Source organism: Homo sapiens, chromosome 12 (genome assembly GCF_000001405.40).
Source record: "Homo sapiens chromosome 12, GRCh38.p14 Primary Assembly".
Lineage (NCBI taxonomy): Eukaryota > Metazoa > Chordata > Mammalia > Primates > Hominidae > Homo > Homo sapiens.
The window spans coordinates 70,136,770-70,156,022 of NC_000012.12; positions in this window are offsets into that span (position 1 = coordinate 70,136,770).

Consider the following 19,253-nt stretch of genomic DNA (forward strand, 5'->3'; position numbering starts at 1 on the left):
AATTAGCAGAATTAATATTGTTAAAATTACCATACTATTTAAAGCAATCTACATTTATTTAATGTAGATTTATTCAATGCAATTCCTATCAAATTACCAATGTGATTTTTCACAGAATTAGGAAAAATAATTCTAAATTTATATGGAACCAAAAAGGAGCCCAAATAGCCAAAGCAATTCTAAGCAAAAAGAATAAAGCTGGAGACATCACATACTGGTATAAAAATAGATCAGTGGAACAGAATACAGAACCAAGGAACAAAGCCACATACCTACAACCAACAAATCTTTGACAAAGTCAAGAAAAATATACATTGGAAAGGACACCTTATTCAACAAATGGTGCTGGGAAAATTGGATAGCTGATATGGTTTGGCTCTGTGTCCCTGCCCAGTGAGGTGTCAGAGCACTGGCACCAGAAAGAGATCGACTCGCAAGTTGGTAAAAATAATTTACCAACAACAGTATAAGTTTGAAAAAGCAAAGTTTATTAGAACGGAAGAATGCTGCAAAAGGATGCAGTGGAGTGCCTCACTGAGAAGATTGAGTGATTCCTTAGGGGTATTTATGGACCTTAAGGTGGGAGCTCAGGGTTGTAAAACGAGTTTCAGCATGGCATTCCAGAGATATATAGTTTTAGGTACTTATAAAAGTTGAAAGGGTCCTGGAACCAGATGTAACCAGGTGGCCTTGCTCCTTTCTAAATTCCTCAGATAAGGAATTTTTGTCTCTGGGGTCTGTTAAATGGTCACTAGGTGATTTCTGCTCTCCTCGTTTTCCCCCTGGCAAATATTTTGGTCAAATCTTTGACCCTTTATATTCCCCCATGCTCATGTCTATGTGCTGCCTTTTGGGGTCTCAATAAGAGGGGCATCAAGTGGGGTCTAATAAGAGGGACATCAAGTCTGTCTGGCTACTTCCTGCTGAAAGGAGCAATGAAGGGATAAGTTGTGTTTTTCTCTTTCTTGCTCTCTGTCATGAAGGGAATAAAGGGTCATGAAAAACTCATTCATGGCGGGGGCAGGAGGCAGAGACCAGATTCTATCACGAGGCCCCATGTAAATGGAAGTTGCTGTTGCAGGCTGGAATTGAGATTACATAGCCATCTGTAGGTGGAATTTTTGTAATTTGTAAGATATAAACTTAATGAGAGCATTAAAAAGGCAGGGACTGAATATTAGAAGAATGATAAGGAACAAAGATCCAAAGAATGGGAGAAGCCAAGCGATTTTTAGAAACCAATCAGTAAAGGTTTTGGTCTAGTCTTGGTTACTCTGGGAAAGTGTGTGTAGCCATTTGGCTTGTTTGAAAATTTCTTGGACATCAGTTTCCACTTCTCTGGACACATTAATGTAGGTGTAACAGGTTTTGTTGATGGCAGCACAGACTCCTCCTCGTTCAGCTAGGAGATAATCCAAAGCTCATCTATTATCAAAAACCATTCCTGCTAGTGAGGCTAAAGACTTTTCTATTGCTTATATACTTTTTGCTAAGTCTGTTTCAAAGGAAGCGGTAAGTTCTCATAGTGTGATTTCATGGTAAGTAAAACCTCCCCAAGGAGCGAGAGTTGCGATAGTTCCCACAACTCTGGCCAGAATAAGTCCTAGGGCCCTTTTTTTTTGTAGAATGGAATTCTGAATTGGAAGTTATGTTCAAGACAGTGATTTGGGTAAAAGCTACTGTTCTCAGGTACAATCGCCATAATAAAGAGAATTAGTAAGGTGGGATAGGGCCAAAACTTAAAAAGGCTTTAAATAATTACTGGTGGTGCCACAAAGACACAAGAGTCCAGGAGGGGCAGGTAATGTAGTTTGAGGCTTTTTTGGACTAAGAGGGCCATTGCTGCTAAGCACAGGGGGCTATCCCTTCAAAACCAAGTCTAAAGTTTTTGAAAAATATGCTATAGGCCAGGTGTGGCAAGTCAATCCTATAATCCCAGCTACTTGGGAAGCTGAGGCAGGAGAATCACTTGATCCCAGGAGGCAGAGGTTGTGGTGAGCTGAGATCATGCCACTGCTCTCCAGCCTGGGCAACAGAGTGAGATTCCGTCTCAAAACAAATAAATAAATAAATAAATAAATAAAAAGATCTTATCTTACACATGACAACTCCAGTAACTAAACAACAGCTTTGGTTCTTTCAGGGTGTGGCTGGGTCTGGTAGAATATGGATTCTTTCCTTTGGATTAATAGTGAAACCTTTGTATGAAGCCCTGAAGCCCTCTTTATCCTGGACTAATGATATGAAGGTTGCTCTAAATACTTTAAAATGGGCCTTAATCTTGGCCCTGGCTTTAGCTCTACCAAATCTAACTAAGCCTTTAGCTGATTATAGGCACATACCACCATGCCCAGCTAATTTTTGTATTTTTCTTTTTTTTAGTAGAGACGGCGTTTCACTATGTTGGCAAGGCTGGTCTCAAACTCCAGACCTCATGATCCACCCACCTTGGCCTCCCAAAGTTCTGGGAAGATAAGATCTTTATGAGTGCTAGAGATCCTATTTGTATGGGGGATTAAGATAAGACCCCAAAATTGAAGTCTTTGTGTGGATGTTTGTACCTTAGAAGGAGATACTTTGTACTCACAATCAGAACGATTGTTTAGTACTAATACTGTATTTTGATCTGAAACTGTTAGGACTACAGATTAGCACATACTGGAGTGGATTGCTATCTGGGAGAAGCTGCAGGGTGGACAGGTCTTTAGCTAGGGGCTGTCCAAAAAGGTGGGGGCTATCTCTGAATCCTTGAAGCAAAACTGTCCAAGTTAACTGCTGAGTTATTTGAGTGTCTGGGTCTTGCCATTCAAAAGCAAATAAAAATTGTCTATCCAGGTGTACAGGAATGAAGAAAAAGGAATCCTTAAGATCAAGTACAGTAAGCCTCCTTAAGATTAAGTACAGTAAGCCAAGCTGTGGTGGAGGGAATTTGTTCAAAAAGGGGGTAAGGGTTTGGGACAATAGGATTAATAGGAATAACAGCTTCATTAATAATTCTAAGGTCCTGTACTAGTTGGTAGGAGCCATCTTGTTTCTTTACAGCTAAAATGGGAGTGTTGCAAAGCGAGTTACATGGGCGCAATAATTCATGGCTTAAAAGTTTTGTTATTAGGGGCTTTAACTCTTTTCATGCTTCTGGTTCCAAGGGATGTTGGGGGGTTCTGGGAAACTTATTGGGATTTTTAAGCTGAATGACGATGGGAGCAGCTGATAATTGAATGGCCAGGAATAGAAGTATTCCAAACTTCAAATGGCACTTGTTTTAGAATGCAAGGTTCTATAGACTGTAGTGGCTCTTTCAGTGAAGTATGAGTTAAAACGGCTAGAAATTGAGGCCTTAACTGTAAATTAACTTGTAATTCTGTGAGTAAATCATGAGCCAGTATTGGAACAGGGCAGCTTGGCAAGATTAAAAAGGAGTGAGTAAAGGAATAGCCTTCCATTTTACAAGGGAGTGGTGGTGTGAAACAGCCTCATTGAGGTTTTCCATCAATACCTGTAAGGAAAATGGAGGACTGGCACATTGGGATGTAATAAACGTTTAAAGCTGAATAACTGGCCCCTGTATCTATACGGAACATTATTTCTTGTTCAGCCGCAATCAAATTTACCCAAGGCTTGTTCACAGAGATGGAAAAGATAGGGGCCTGGACGGCCTCAAGGCCCCATCAGTCATCTAGAGGACGACTTTCAGAGGCTTGATCATAATCCAGGAATAAAGTTAGAGGTGCTTGTCCTTGCCCTTTCTCTTTCCCTTGCCCTTTCCTGTCCTGCAGGATCCCCTTGTTGGGAGGTTGGCGAGGTTGTGGCTGTGACAGCCCGGAAGGAAGAGGTGGCCTTCCTCATGAGAAGAGAGAGGACACTTGCTCTTCCAAGGACCCTCTTGTTTGCAATGAGGACAGGGTCCTGGAAGTGGCTTGTAACCTGGCGGTTTGGAACATTCTCTACTCCAGTGTCCTGGATTTCTGCAGCAATGACAGGCCCCCATTCTGTTAGTAGTGTAGGGATGAGCCTTGGGGTTATTAGATGAAGAAAAAGAATGTGCCAAGGCTGTTGCCATGTAATTAGCTTAGTGATGGCATTCTTCCTCCTCCAATTCAGCCTTTTTTATTTTTGATGTTTTCTCCTGGTTATTGAAAACCTCAAAGGCTGTATTTAATAAAATAGGAAAGGGAGTTTGTGGGCCTTGCTCTAATTTTTGGAGTTTTTGTCTTATGTCTGGGTAAGCCTGACTTACAAAATGTACAGCGAGAATGGATTGGCCTTCAGGGCTTTCAGGGTCTAAATTTACATATTTACGCATGGCCTCCACCAATCTAGCTTGGAAAAGGGTGAGGTTCTCAGACGGCTCCTGGGTGACTTCTTGTAATTTAGAAAATTTAACAGGTCTTAGTACAGGCTTTTTCATTCCTTCCCACAAGCAAGTTATCATATAATCTCATCCGGCCCTGCCTCTGTTTGGGCCGACATCAGCAGCCTGATACAGCCAATTGGTTTCTGTGTCAGGGACAGCTTTCGTCCCAGCTTTATTATCATTAGGATTGCGAGCATGAGCTGCATGTGCCCAAGCTCAAGCTAAAGACCATATGTGTGATATTTCTTCATGGGAACAACAAATAGTTAATACCACCAATATGTCTTGCCAGGTTAAATCAAAGGCAATAATTAAAGCCCAAAATTCTTGAATGAACTTAGAGGGATTCTGGCTAAATGACTCCAGCTTGGATTGAATTTGTGAAAGATCAGACACTGGAAAAGGAACACGAACTCGAATTGTTCCCATATCTCCATTTGCCACCTCGTGGAGAGGCAAAATATTTTGGGGGTTTTCTGAGGACTCTGTACTAGTGGCATAGGTAACTCCTCTGCAAGTATGTGAGGAGGATAAATGTATCTGGATATGGAGGTTGACTGGGGGATGGAGCAGATAGAGAGGGTGTAGGTGAAGCAGGAGCAGGCTGAGGATGTGATAGGCAAAAGGAAGGATCATCTAAGACATCAGAATCAGAGAGAGAGGAAATTCCTTGAAATCGTATGTGACTATTTTTATGTACTTTGGGATTTTGGGATAAAGCTAAAAAGACCTGAAAAGATGAGACCTCTGAATACAAAAGAAAATTACACACTTCTTTTGAGAGTTTGTGAGTTAAAATGGGACCAGTTTTTAAGAATGCAACCCAAGGGTGAGAAGGAATGAAATGAAGAATGAATTGAACCCATGTTGGGTTTTGATAAGGGACTACAAGATCGCTGAGGCATGCCTGAGGGATTTGGACCTTCCTTTTCCCTTTGGCTCACTCTATCCAGGGGTAGAGGGCATTCCCTTGCCTGGATGACCAGACCAGGCGTGCCCTTGTTTGAGTGGTCAGCTCAAACCTAATGTGATGGAGAACTCATCTGTAACTTGGGATCTAGTGCCTATGACAGAGTTGAATCCAAAAGTGGGTCTGCAAACAGTGGAGTGCGTCCGCGCAGAGGTGAGATCACTGCTGCCCGTTTCCAAGGCACAGTTTACAGAGTGTTAAGTGAAAGTGGACTTGCTACCCTAACAGGCAATAGCAAATTCACTCTTTTGTCTTCGCCTTCAGGTAACGTGGGGGAGTGCCCTCGGCCAGAAACCCTCAATTGCCAAAGGGTACTCAAACTAGTTCACTGGCAGTCTGAAAATAGAAAAGAACCCTAAGGGCAACGACAGACAGGTATCCCTTCTCTAGGGCTTCAGAATCCCACGAAGAGTAGCCTCGGCCAGGGACTGTCAATTCCCAAAAGTAAAGAACCATCGAGCGAAGCAGGGAGGAAAAAGCAGGGAAAAAAGAATGGAGAAATCCCAGTAAAGTCCACATAATGGGTCACCAAGATGCTGGATGATGTGTCAGAGCCCTGGCACTGGGAAGTGGTCGACTCACAGGTTGGTAAAAAGAATTTACCAACAACAGTATAGGTTTGAAAAAGCAAAGTTCATTACAAAGAAAGAACGCTCCAAAAGGGTGCAGCGGGGTGCCTCAGCAAGAGGACTAAACACACTGTGGTGGATTTTCCTTAGGGGTATTTATGACTTTAAGGAGGGAATTTAGGATTGTAAAATGAGTTTTGGCATGGCATTCCAGAGATGTATAGAAATTTTAGTTACTCATAAAAGTTGAAAGAGGCCTGGAACTAGATGCAAACAGGTGGTCTTTGTTCCTTTCTAAATTCCTCAGATAAGAAGTTTTTGTCTCCAGGACCTCTTCAGTGGTCACCAGGTGATTTTCACTCTCCTCAGTCCCCACACAAATCTCATCTTGAATCGTAATCCCCACTGTATCAAGGGAGGGACCTGGTGGGAGGTGACTGGACCATGGGGGTGGTTTCCCCCATGCTGTACTCGTGATAGTGAGGGAGTTTTCACGAGATCTGATGGTTTTAAAAGCGGCAGTTTCCCCTGCGCACTCTGTCTCTCCTGTTGCCTTGCGAAGAAAGCGTTTGCTTCCCCTCTACTTTCTGCCATGATTTTAAGTTTCCTGAGGCCTCCCCAGCCATGCAGAACTGTGAATCAATTAAGCCTCTTTTGTTTATAAATTACCTATTTTATCTATAAATTGTTTATAAATTATAAGTTTATAATTTATAAATTATAGTATCTTCATATAATTTATATATATAATATATAAAATATATATAATATATATAAATTATATTAAATTTATATAAAGCTAACATGTTTTTTGTGGATACACATAAATATATATTTATATATAAAATGTATATTTATATATTATTATATAACAGCATTTATATATATTATATATTATATATAATTTCTATAATTATATTTAATTATATAATTATATAAATTATAAATTATAGTATCTTAATAGCAGTGTGAAAACAGATTAATACAATAGCCATATGTAGAAGAATACATCTGGATACACATTTCTCAGCATATACAAAAATTAAAAGTTCTTGTCCTTGACTTGGAAAACTCTGGATTTAAATCTGACCTCTGTCACTTTACTATCTATATGATCTTGAGTAAGTTACTTAACCTCTATGAATCAGGATACCTATGTCATAGGGCTACTGTGAGAATTAAATAATGTAATATATGTAAGGGATTGAGTATAGTGAGCACTCAGTAACTACAAACAAAAATAGTAGTAAGAGGGGAAAGGTAAATAGAAGCTTGCTAAGAATGGAGGGAGGAAAGTTTGAATGCAAACGTACTAAGGCAAGAGCACATGGTATCTTCAGGGAACAACAAGAAAAACATAAGACCTGAGCAGAGATTTAATGGGGAAGAATAGTGGAGAGGAAGTTGGTAGGCTGATACAAAGGATATCATACTAAAGGTTTAGATTTTTTTTTTTTTTTTGAGATGAAGTCTTGGTGTGTCACCCAGGCCGGAGTGCAGTAGCATGATCTCAGCTCACTGCAACCTCTGCTGCCCGGTTCAAGCAATTCTCCTGTCTCAGCCTCCTGAGTAGCTGGGCCTATAGGTGCATGCCACCATGCCCAGCTAATTTTTGTATTTTTAGTAGAGGCAGGGTTTCACCATATTGGTCAGGCTGGTCTCGAACTCCTGACCTCAGGTATTCACCCGCCTCAGCCTTCCAAAGTGCTGGGATTACAGGTGTAAGCCACTGTGCCTGGCCAAGGTTTAGATTTTATTCTATAGTTTATGGGCAGTCTGAAAAATTATGAATGCAAAGGAATACTCTAATGGTAATATGGAAAATTTATTTTCTCAGGGATATATTAATAATGATATTTTCCTTTACATGGTTACTTTAAAAGATTTGCTGCTTCCCTAAGAGTGATTTTTATCATTCCTTGGAAGCTAACATATTTTCTGTGGATACATCTGTTTGTTAATAGAGGCAATGAAAAAATTGGACTTGAGATTTTTACATGAAACCTTAAAAAATATTTATTCCTTGTACAGAATTATATCTGTTTTCATGTGCAGCCAAGGTCATATGGTATGGATTCAGTGGCAATCGTGAGCCCTTATATTTATAGCACAAGTAATAGGATAACAAGGACAGAAGTAAGAAGTAATAGCCTAAATGGACAACCTATAAAGATTACATTTTTGGACACAGCTTTACCTTGGCCATATTTCTGTTCCATAATGGGTTAAATCCAAATTTACAAAACAACTATGGTATAACAGATTGGAGTGACTGGTGACACAGTCAGTCTAACTGCATGCTCTACAATCAGTCATGAAAATAATGAGTATGGACACATAGGCCATGCTTCAATTCTCTGGCTGCCAACTAACATAGCCATGGCATATGGGCAATTGTGGCATTCAAACGTATATAATTTAATTGTCTTGATTACAGGTAATAGTAAACAGAAAATAATAGTGCTAAATAACAATACCCTAAACTAATCAGGGCACATCTCTGCAAATCACTTCACTGCACTGCTGTACAGACTGTTCCCTATCTTAAAAATTATAAGACATCCCAAATTACCGTGCAGTATTCATCATCAAACTGCTATTTGATAATTGTTATTACATCAAAGACCAGAGACAAAGATCAAAGAATAAGAACTACAGTTGTCTCAGCCTACATATTGAAGCCCATCCCAATTCTCACTAACTTTCCGCGTTGCCTGTACACCACAGTGATAAATGTCTCAGGCATCTAGATATGGATTTTAACTCTGGAGGAAAGCAAAAGTTTTCTTGTGGACCCCATTTATTTTGTAATAAAGGTTGTGTTATTTGTAGGTCTTAGTAGTCCTAATTTCTACAAAGTTCTATAGGAAATAAAAGGATAAAAAGAGACTTTAAAGAGACCTTGATCCCAGCTCCTAGATCTTTCTGGCAATCATTCACTCTGGGTTCTGCCATCACAAAGGACCTTATCTAAGAGTCCAGCCAGTCTGATCAAATAGCTCTTCTTTAAATGTCTGATACATTTGCACATGCAATTCCTTTCTTACCACAATCCTCACTCTTCAGCACAGATATTTACTTGGCAAAGGCCCTGTTATTGATCAAGAGCCAGTTCAAGTGTCTCCTTCTCTATTTTCTAAGAGACAATTTAAAACCCTCATAGGAGACCTCTACTTTTGCACTTATCACACCATGTCATAATAATTTGCTTGAAATATTTTTCTCATTTATCAGGCTATAAACATTTATTTTTATAATCTCAACTCCCATTAAAATGTCTGCTGCAAGGTGAGTGCTTAATAAATATTTTTCTGTTTATTTATGCTATGTCTTCTTTCAAAAAGAATTGAGTATGGAATATATAGATGCATTTAGTGGAATGAGATTTTTTCTAAAAAAAGAAAGCAAAGAAAAAGTGTTTAACAGATTGACTGACTAAAGATCTAAAAAAAATAATTAATGTTCAGGAATTTAGGAGTGGTATGTTTTTCCCAATTTTAGAATCAATAGGGGAGAAAATAAGAATTAAAAAAAAAAAACCTTCCTTAAAACTTTAAGCCTGCACACTTTATGTGAAATATAAAAAGGTTATTTAAACTTTAAATCACTGGAAGAAATAAAGTAAATTCTTTTGATTATTGTAAATGTTTGTTCTGTGCTTAAGTCACCAGTCTCCATTTTTGCCATTCACATCTAAGCTTCAACATTTTAATTAAACGGCTAAGCAGTTGAATCATATGTCTAATAACATCAAAAACTATCTTCTACACCTATTAACAAACTCAATACAAAGGCAGCCCTGCTCAGAATAGGAAAGTAGGCAGTTTGTCGTGGTGTTTGCCTCTCTTCCATATTAGGGACTCTTCCAGGGCATAGGTTAAACACAAATAATTTTCTAAGAGACAACTTAAAACAAGAGAACAGCAATTAAAAGCAAATAACTAAGAAGGAAATGAAGAAAAAAAGATAACATAACTATATCAGAAAAACCAGTCTGAGAGAGGCTACCACAATTGAAAACAGAACTAAGCACGAAGCTTTCTGGCAAAAAAAGAAAATACATAGGCAGAGTGTGGCGAGTGAATCATATAAGATAATTAAAGAAAGTACAAGATCATCAAAATAAACACTTTCAGAGTTCTGAAAATTATTTACCTTTTTGTAATATTGATGATATTTTCCATAGAAGTGATAAAACCTTCAGAGATGCTCTTCCTTTGGCAATTTCTTATATCAGTTTAATTCCTCATTTCAGTTTCACACACCCTCTGTACTCTCTCAACAATCCATATCTTTTTATACACCATTTCCTCTGAGTATAATGCTTTTCCTTGTTCATCCTTGCCTGGATTGCTCCTTACTGATCCTAAGGTGTCAGTCGCTGTAGGAAACCTTTTGTCATTCATCTCCCTCCCTGGTTGTTCACAGGGGTGTTGAGGTCTCTCTCTCTATCTCTCTCACACACACACACGCACACACGCTTGAAAGCGCACACATGCGTACACACACACACACAGGCATAGGCTAAGTATCGCTTATCATGCTACCATAGCATCTTGGGCATACAGCTATCCTAACATTTGCAGATGCTATGCATAAAAAGTAGTTTATGGGCTGGTGGTGGTGGCTCACGCCTGTATTTCAGCACTTTGGGAGGCCGAGGCTGGGGGATCACTTGAGGTCAGGAGTTTGAGATCAGCCTGGCCAACATAGTGAAACACCGTGTCTACTAAAAATACAAAAATTAGCCAGGCGTGATGGCATGTGCCTGTAATTCCAGCACAAGGGAGGCTGAGGCAGGAGAATTGCTTGAACCTGGGAGGAGGAGGTTGCAGTGAGCCAAGGTTGTGCCTCTGCACTCGAGCCTGGGTGACGGAGTGAGATTCTGTCAAAAAAAAAAAAAAGAAAGAAAAGAAAAGAAGTTTATGAATGAACAGGAGAAAGTTGACTGTTGCTTGTGGCACTTATTCCTTGTCACGCTCTTCCTAGTAGCCCTTAGTTTCTTTATCTTTACAATGAAGGATTGGGCTTGGGGTCTTTAAAGATCCCTTCCAATTTAATTATTATATGATGATGTTTATTGTTTTGTTTAAAGAATTTAAGATGGCTGAAGTAGCAGTAAGGAAACTAGCAGAAATAATAACAGGGAGACAAAAGCAGACACAAAAAAAGCGCTAACCATGACCTATGTCATCTATGGCCAGAAGAGTCAAACAAACAAAAAACCCTTGGCCTATTAGGAAGATTTTGTCATATTCCAGGATTAAGTGAAATCATTATACAAAGTGCCTAGCACAGTGCTTGCTAGTTCTGTATCCCTTTCTTATTCCCTGCATGGTAGGATTGACTAAAAGAAAGAAGTGTTCTAGGGATCATATAAAAGGCATAAAAATATCCCTACTAAGCAGGAACAAAGGTATTAGGAAAAGTAAAGATTAAAAACACAAAAATTATTATTAATAATATTTGTACAGCACTCTTCAATCTAAGTACTTTAATATAAATTAATGCCCTTGTGTTTTACTAATTAACTATAAGTATTTTTAATTATTATTTCTTTAATTGTAATATTTTCTAAAATTCTACAATTCTGTAGATTCTAAAATTCTGTAATATTCTAAAATATTGACTTGTCAAAAGATAAACCAATAGATCATAGTTTATACTAATAATTTCTATTAATATTATAGCATTGGGAATTAATATGCTATGCTATGCAACTTTCAGCATGAGGGTTAGGATACGAAGTCACAGGAAAGAGCAAGATGTTATTGGTTTCTACTTTGCTGAAAGCGTAAAAATAGTTCAACTCTTTTGGAGCTTTAATTTAACCTAATTGTTATCTAATTTTATAGTAGCAAAGTTTCTCATTTAGCTGCTATCTTCTTTTACCAAAATGAGCATTCAGATGAAAAAGCTTACACTATCTTTTCAGCCTGGGTTTTTTGCTTTGTTTTATATTTAATATTTATATTAAATATTTGCAGCAGGCATAAATTTTTTAAGTACATGAAAATAGCACAAATAACTTAAATCCCATATCAAGTCTATTCCAGTTGATAGAAGCAGATGGTGAAAATGGGAAATTTGAGGTCTTAAAATACAGTTTTAAACAGCTAAGATATTGCCAGTTGGTTTTAGATAACTTTGGGTTGTACAAATAGAAAAATATTTGTTTAGGTTTAAATTGTTCTTTCTTCCATTGAGATTTTATTTAGTGATATCATAATTATTAATCCATTTCACATTTCTAGTCTTGAAACTTAATTTTCTAGAAATTTTATTAAAGTACAGGTACATTAGATTGGAAGAAATAGCAAATTGATTGTAGTTTTAAAAGCAATTTACTAGCAGAAAATATTCAGCAGAGAAAACATCTAAATCTAGGAGAGCATGTTAATCCATTTTGTGTTGCTATACAGTAATACATGAAACTGGGCAACATACACAGAAAAAATATTTATTTGGCTTAAAGTTCTACAGGCTGTACACAAAGCATGGCACCAGCATCTGCTTCTTGCAAGGGACTCAGAAAGCTTACAATCATGGCAGAAGGTGAAGAGGGAGGAGGCATGTCACACACTGAGAGAGCGAGCAAGAGAGAGGGGGAGGTGACACACTCTTTTTAAACAACCAGATATCAAGTGAACTCAGAGTGAGAACTCACTCATTACCTCAAGGAGGGCACCAAGCGATTTATGATGAATCTGCCTGCCAAATACCTCCCACCAGGCTCCACCTCCAACTAAATCACATTTCAACGTGAGATTTAGAGGAGACACACAAAACTATATCAGAGATATTAAACAGAGCACAAGTATGTTTACCTTTAATGTCGTGCATTATAATCTGATTTAAAATGTAAAAGTATAGGGCAATAAGCTTTAAAAAATAAGTAGCCAGAATTTCACACTATTTTTAACCTCCTCATTCCCTAAATCATAGCAATAATCTTATCCAAAGATAAAACCATTTTGCAGAATGCAAACATTATATGCCTTCTCCCTCTCTTCATGTTTTTAGCCCAGAACATAGAAAAAAATTAAATTCTATCCAAGATGGAGACAGGGGCATTGTGAGTCTTGAGAAGAAACACTTTAATACCTCTGGGCTCACAGTGGCCATTGGGATGAGGAGTTACTCATCTGATCAGTCAGAATCTGACTTTTATGGAGCTACATTTGCTAGTATATAGTAAAGTCACATTAAAGGTCAATGTTCATGCATAGCATGTCCTCTTGGCCTCTGTTTTACTTCCTGGATTTGTATTATCAGTATAATAAGAAAGCCAAAGCTTGGTCCTTTTACCCACATGTGGAAGGAGGCTAGCTCTTTCTTCTCTGTTCTCTTTTCAATGTAGTAGTAAAATATATTTTAAAATCTTGTTTGTATCCAAAATTTTAATTTTGCATCTTTATTTTCTAAATTAAGGCAGCTATTTATGAATAAGATAACATTTTAAAAATCATCAATGTTAAAATATGCTGAAACATTTTGCTTTATCATTCATACAGAGTAAATCTCTGTATAATAATTAAGCATTGTACAGCAACAGCAGTACTAAGAGAGAAATTCATAGCAGCGTGAAAGGAAAATAAATCTTGGGACGCCCCAAATCACTAAACCAAAGCAAAAATCAACCTGGGACCTGCTTAGGGTAAACCTGTCTCCTATTCTATTTCTAAAAAATATAGCTACTAAGATTAAAAAGCTACATACTTCCTTCACAAGGAATTTCCTTGTGGACAAAGAACAGACAAAATTCAAAGTCATCCCTCTGCTCACTGAGATAAATGCATATCTGATGGCCTTCTTTGGAAAGGCTACTCAGAAACTGAAAAGAATGCAACCATTTGTCTCTTACCTACCTATGATCTGGAAGCCCCCTTCTCTCTTTCCCACTTCAAGTTGTCCCACTTTTCCAGATGGAGCCAATGTACATCTTACATATATTGATTGATGTCTCATGTCTTCCTATAATGTATAAAACCAAGCTGTGCCTTGATCATGTTGGGCACATTTCAGGACCTCCTGAGGCTATGTCATGGGCAAGTGTCTTTAACTTTGGCAAAATAAACTTCCTAAATTGACTGAGACCTGTCTCAGATATTTGGGGTTTACATTTGGTAACCATGAAGGGATTCTGAGTGGAAGTGCTCCTTACCTTTGACAAGTTCCCTATGGGTGCTTGGTACCAGCTTGAGCTATTTTTATGACTCCAAACAACAGGACAATTTGCTGAGGTCTGGGAGCATCCCCTCCAGAGAATCCCTGATCTCCCCAAATTTGGTTGAGGTCTAACTTTATTTTGCTTTACAACTCCTTTCTTTTGGAATTGTACTTGCTTCCAACAAAGAAGGCAAGTTTTCCTGTTTCCATGATGATGGAAGGCAGGTAACTCCTTTCTGGAGATTGAGCTCACTTCCAACAGGGAAGGTGAGTTTGAGTTTCTTCATGCTTCTAGGATGGTAGAGAGTAGTCTTCAGCCTGAGAGCCATCCCTAGGGAAGTAGCTGAATTGGGGTTTTCCTGGCTAAAGTTAAGTTTAACAACCAGCTGGTCTTAATTTCTCCTTACCACCCAAGTGCTCATAATCATATTGGGGAGATTCATTTTGTTGTTTGTTCCTGTCTTACTCCTGTCAAATTTGACCAACTCTACCTGACTTGGTCAAATCTGAATGATAATTCCAAATTACGGGTAACAAGGAAGGCCTCTCTGAATTCACTAAAATTCCTTGCAGCTGCAAACAAGGAAAAAGAAAACAAAACCAACCAAACAAACAAAAAAACATGTGCTTGGTATCTGTGTTTGTTTCAGGTCTAAGAAAATTTTTCTTTCTTTTACTTTTCTTCCACCCTGTACCTTCTTCCCCTTTGCCACCTTCAGTACTGAGAAAAATTTAGAGAGAAGGCTTCTAACGACTCAAACCCTTTACATAACTCAGAACAAAGATATCACTCACCCCTTTTGGGGTATTCTGTTTTCTTTGTGGAGTTTTAAGAGTCATGGGCAGATTCTTCTTAGGTCTAAAACTCTGCTTTCCCGTATTGCATTACCTGACCTCTTTAGTTTTGAGGGTACCAGAGATTATCTTGTACTGCGATAGGATTTAGCCTTGGTGTGTGTAATGCAGAATGAAAGGTATGAAGTTAGGGGAGGCTGAGGACAATTTACAGGAAATGGTCTTGGCTGTTTTTTGTTTTCTTTTCCTCTCCTAGGAAGTCATTGTTTAGGGATCCAACTTCTAGTTCAGGGATGCGTTCTTAAGGGGCTTCTCCATTGCTTTTTCTCCCAAAATTAATCTCGATTTGGCTTGTCTGTGTGCATTTGCTAAGGAACTGAACTGTTGTTTTCATAGGTAAATAAGAGACTGAGTTTCCTCAGCTCTGAAGAAAAAGGGTATTCCGCCCCTCCCAGCTGAAATGCACCCCTGGATGACCTGAGGGACTCATGGGAACGTCTGGGGAGTTGACACCCTGCGATGTGTAGTGGTCCTACAGGAACTCTGAAAAAAATTAGTTTTTAAAAGCCTTATCTAGGAAGTTCATATGGGCATGGTCACTCAGCACTTTGAGCCCTCCTGGAGGTGCTTAGACCTCCAGAGAGAGAAACAGTGACAAGTAAGAGGGCAGTAACAACTCAGTAGTAACACACGGTGAAGTCCTGCCTGCAACCAGCACACACTCTGACCCACTCTACAAGAACCCTAGACCACAGCTCAGTTCCTCCTTTTAAGAAAAAACAAAAAGCAAAACAAAAATAGAAAAGTGGGAAACAAATAAGAATGAGGAGCAAACAAGGAGAATGACCCGCCTTTTGGGCACTCCATTGGTTTTATAGCATCTCTACTTGCTACAGTTTGTGTAAAATGGAAATATCATGGTCTTTGTGCACATCTACATCAAGGAAAAAGAGCCCTAAGGTTGACCTGCAAACTATAGAGTTCCTAAGTTATCTTTTTTCCTATTTTCTTTTCTGCCTGCTTTAAAGCTGCTGTTACTTTTCTATGATAAAATCCACAGTTTGCATCCAGCCATTTCTTTTTTTGCAAACCAATGAGTTTGTATTAATATATCATGGCTAGAGTTATGAAGTAAAAGCTATATGATCTTTGGTTCTATGAGGGTGTGAGTGTGTATGTATGTGTTTATGTTTATGTACAAGTGTTTTGGCCACAAGGTAGTAAATTGACTTAAAGAGCACTCATAAATTAAATAAAATTAAATAATAAACCCAAATGCTTCTCAAGTTCACATGACTTAAGTAAAATCTTTTATAAGCTAGCTATAAAATTACTGGTAAAGTAATATTAGAAATGTCTTAAGAATTGCCAGCATACATTTTGTTTGCATTTATTCATCAAGCAATTTCATACTTATCCCTGCCAAATACTATAAGGTGTCAACATTTGGCATAAGGATTATAAAATTATAACCCCAACCCCAAACGGAATGATTTTTGCTTGTGTAATTTTTGATAAATAAAGACATTAATACTGGTTTAATGAAAATAACTAAATCTTGAATTATTTTGTAAGTAACTGATATGATTTGGCTTTGTGTCCCCACCTAAATTCATCTCAGATTGTAATCCTCATATGTCAAGGGAGGGACCTGGTGGGAGATGATTGGATTATGGGCGTGGTTTCCCCCATGCTGTATTCATGATAGTGCAGAAGTGCTCATGAGATCTGATGGTTTAAAAGTGGCAGTTTCCCCTGTGCTGTCTCTCTCTCTTGCCTCCTACCATGTAAGACATGCCTTGCTTCCCCTTCACCTTCCACCATGATTGTAAGTTTCCTGAGGCCTCTCCAGCCATGTGGAACTGTGAGTCAATTAAACCCCTTTTGTTTATAAATTACCTCTCAGGTAGTAGCTTTATAACAGTGTGAGAACAAACTAATACAATAACCATATATTTAATTTTAAGGTTCTTACTTAAACAAACACCTGAAAATCACAGGCTATCAAATGGTTGACAGGGAAATAACTGTAACTGCCCAATGGGTTCACCTTGCCTGCTGCCTAGACAGAGCCAATTTATCAATACAGAGGAATTGCAATAGAGAAAGATTAATTCACACTGATCCAGCTGTGTGTGAGAGACCAGAGTTTTACTGTTTTATTTTTATTTATTTTTTGAGATGGAGTCTCGCTCTGTCACCCAGGCTGGAGTGCAATGGTGCAATCTCAGCTCACTGCAACCTCCACCTCCTGGGTACAAGCTATTCTCCTGCCTCAGCCTCCTGAGTAGCTGGGATTACAGGCATGCACCACCTGTTAATTTTTGGCTAATTTTTGTATTTTTGTATTTTTAGTAGATACAGGGTTTCACCATGTCCGCCAGGTTGGTCTCAAACTCCTGACCTCATGACCCACCCACTTTGGCCTCCCAAAGTGCTAGGATTACAGGCATGAGCCACTGTGCCCAGCCCAGAGTTTTATTATTACTCAAATCAATCTCCCTGAGAATTCAGGGATCAGAGTTTTTAAGGACAATTTGGTGGATTGGGGGCCAGTGAGTCAGGAATTCCGATTGGTTGGGTCAGAGATGAAATCACAGGGAGTAGAAGCTGTCCTCTTACACTGAGTCAGTTCCTGGATGGGGATCACAAGACCAGATGAGCCAGTTTATTGATCTGGGTGGTGCCAGCTGATCCATTGAGTGGAATGTCTGCAAAATATCTCAAGCACTGATCTTACATTTTACAATAGTGATGTTATCCCCAGAAGCAATTTGGGGAGATTTAGAATCTTGCAGCCTTCAGCCACATGACTCCTAAACCACAGTTTCTATTCTTGTGGCTTTAGATAGTCCCCAGGCAGGAAGGGGGTGTGTTTTGGGAAAGGACTGTTATCATCTTTGTTTCAAAGCTAAACTATAAACTAGTTCCTCCCAAAGTTAGTTCAGCCTATGCCGAGGAATGAACAAGAACAGCTTGGAGGTTAGAAGCAAGATGGAGCTGGTTAGGTCAGATATCTTCACTGTTTCAGTTATAATTTTACAATAGTGGTTTCATAACTTTAAATGAGAACTTTCACAGTTTTCATAAATAATCTAGGTAAATTATTAACATAAAATAACTAGGTAAATGTAATGGGATAACTACTTGGAAACAAATGTCATAATTTAGAATCTAAAGTTAAATTAAATAATGAATAGTTTGTTAATTGGATATTTTCCAATAAAAAAAATCATAAGAAAACATTCTTTCTAAAAATGTGTGTTCTTATAAAAAGGTAAAAATGTTTGCCATTCAAAGCTTATTTAAAGGTTATATATAAAACAAGGTAAAAGGAACCAGGAAATGAGAGAGATATAAAGAAAGTTATAGAGATAAAGAGGTATCATTGGTAAGAAAGCTTAAAGAAAAATAATTTTATATGAGAAATAATCTTGTGTGGTAAATTTTGTCCTCTAATAGAATAACTGGTTGTTTAAGAAAGATGTTCAGGACAAACTAGAAAGTCTAAGCATGTCATGAATGGTCTGTGTAAGTCATAATGAGAGGATTATGAAAAAAATTATATGATCAAATTGTCTCTAATTAAAGAGAAATTATAATGGTCCTTCTAGAGGTTGGGTTTGATTTTAAAAACTTAAACACTGAGGAATTTCTTCAAATATGTAAACTTCTTAAGGTATTGCTTTACTCTTAATAAATTACAAGACATTATAATTTTTTATGCAAAGTTCAACTTTTATTGTGTCTTGTTGTTTTCAGCTTTCTCTCCCCTTTTAAGAGGCCTGAAATGGTAACTCTATCCATCAACTCATTTTCAGCTCCTGTGAGTTGTTTTTTTTTCCTTTAGGTTCTAATTGTTGTGGCCTGACACTGAAAAACAACAAACAAGTCATATCTTAAGGAAGAAGGAAGGTTGGAAGGAAATGTTTCCTTCCAACATAATATTCCCTATAGGGAATAGCAGGTAAACTGCAGGAGGTCTTTTCTTTTGCCTTTGGGTAACTGGCCTAATAAATAGATCTTAGCTTTATTGAAATAATTCCTATGTCGTTATTACTAAGTTTGGTTTGCTTAGGAAAAACTGAGATTAATTTTTTTTTTTGAATTGAGGTTATTACATCCATGTAACTTTCTGTATGTGCTTTTAAAGTCCTTGTGCCATAAGTTATAGGGCTTTGACTCCTGGGTCTAAAAAGGACACCAAGTCCTGCTAAATCTTAACGCTGATAGCAGTTAAAGCCTCATATTCAAACCCAGTAGAAGATGCCAATCAAAATAAACTTCGTTCATGAAACACAGGGCCAAAAATTAAAGCCATTCAACTCCTCAGGGCCCAGGGACTATCACAGAAGAGGTGGGTGCATGAGATTATAGGGGCCAATTTTGAGAGATG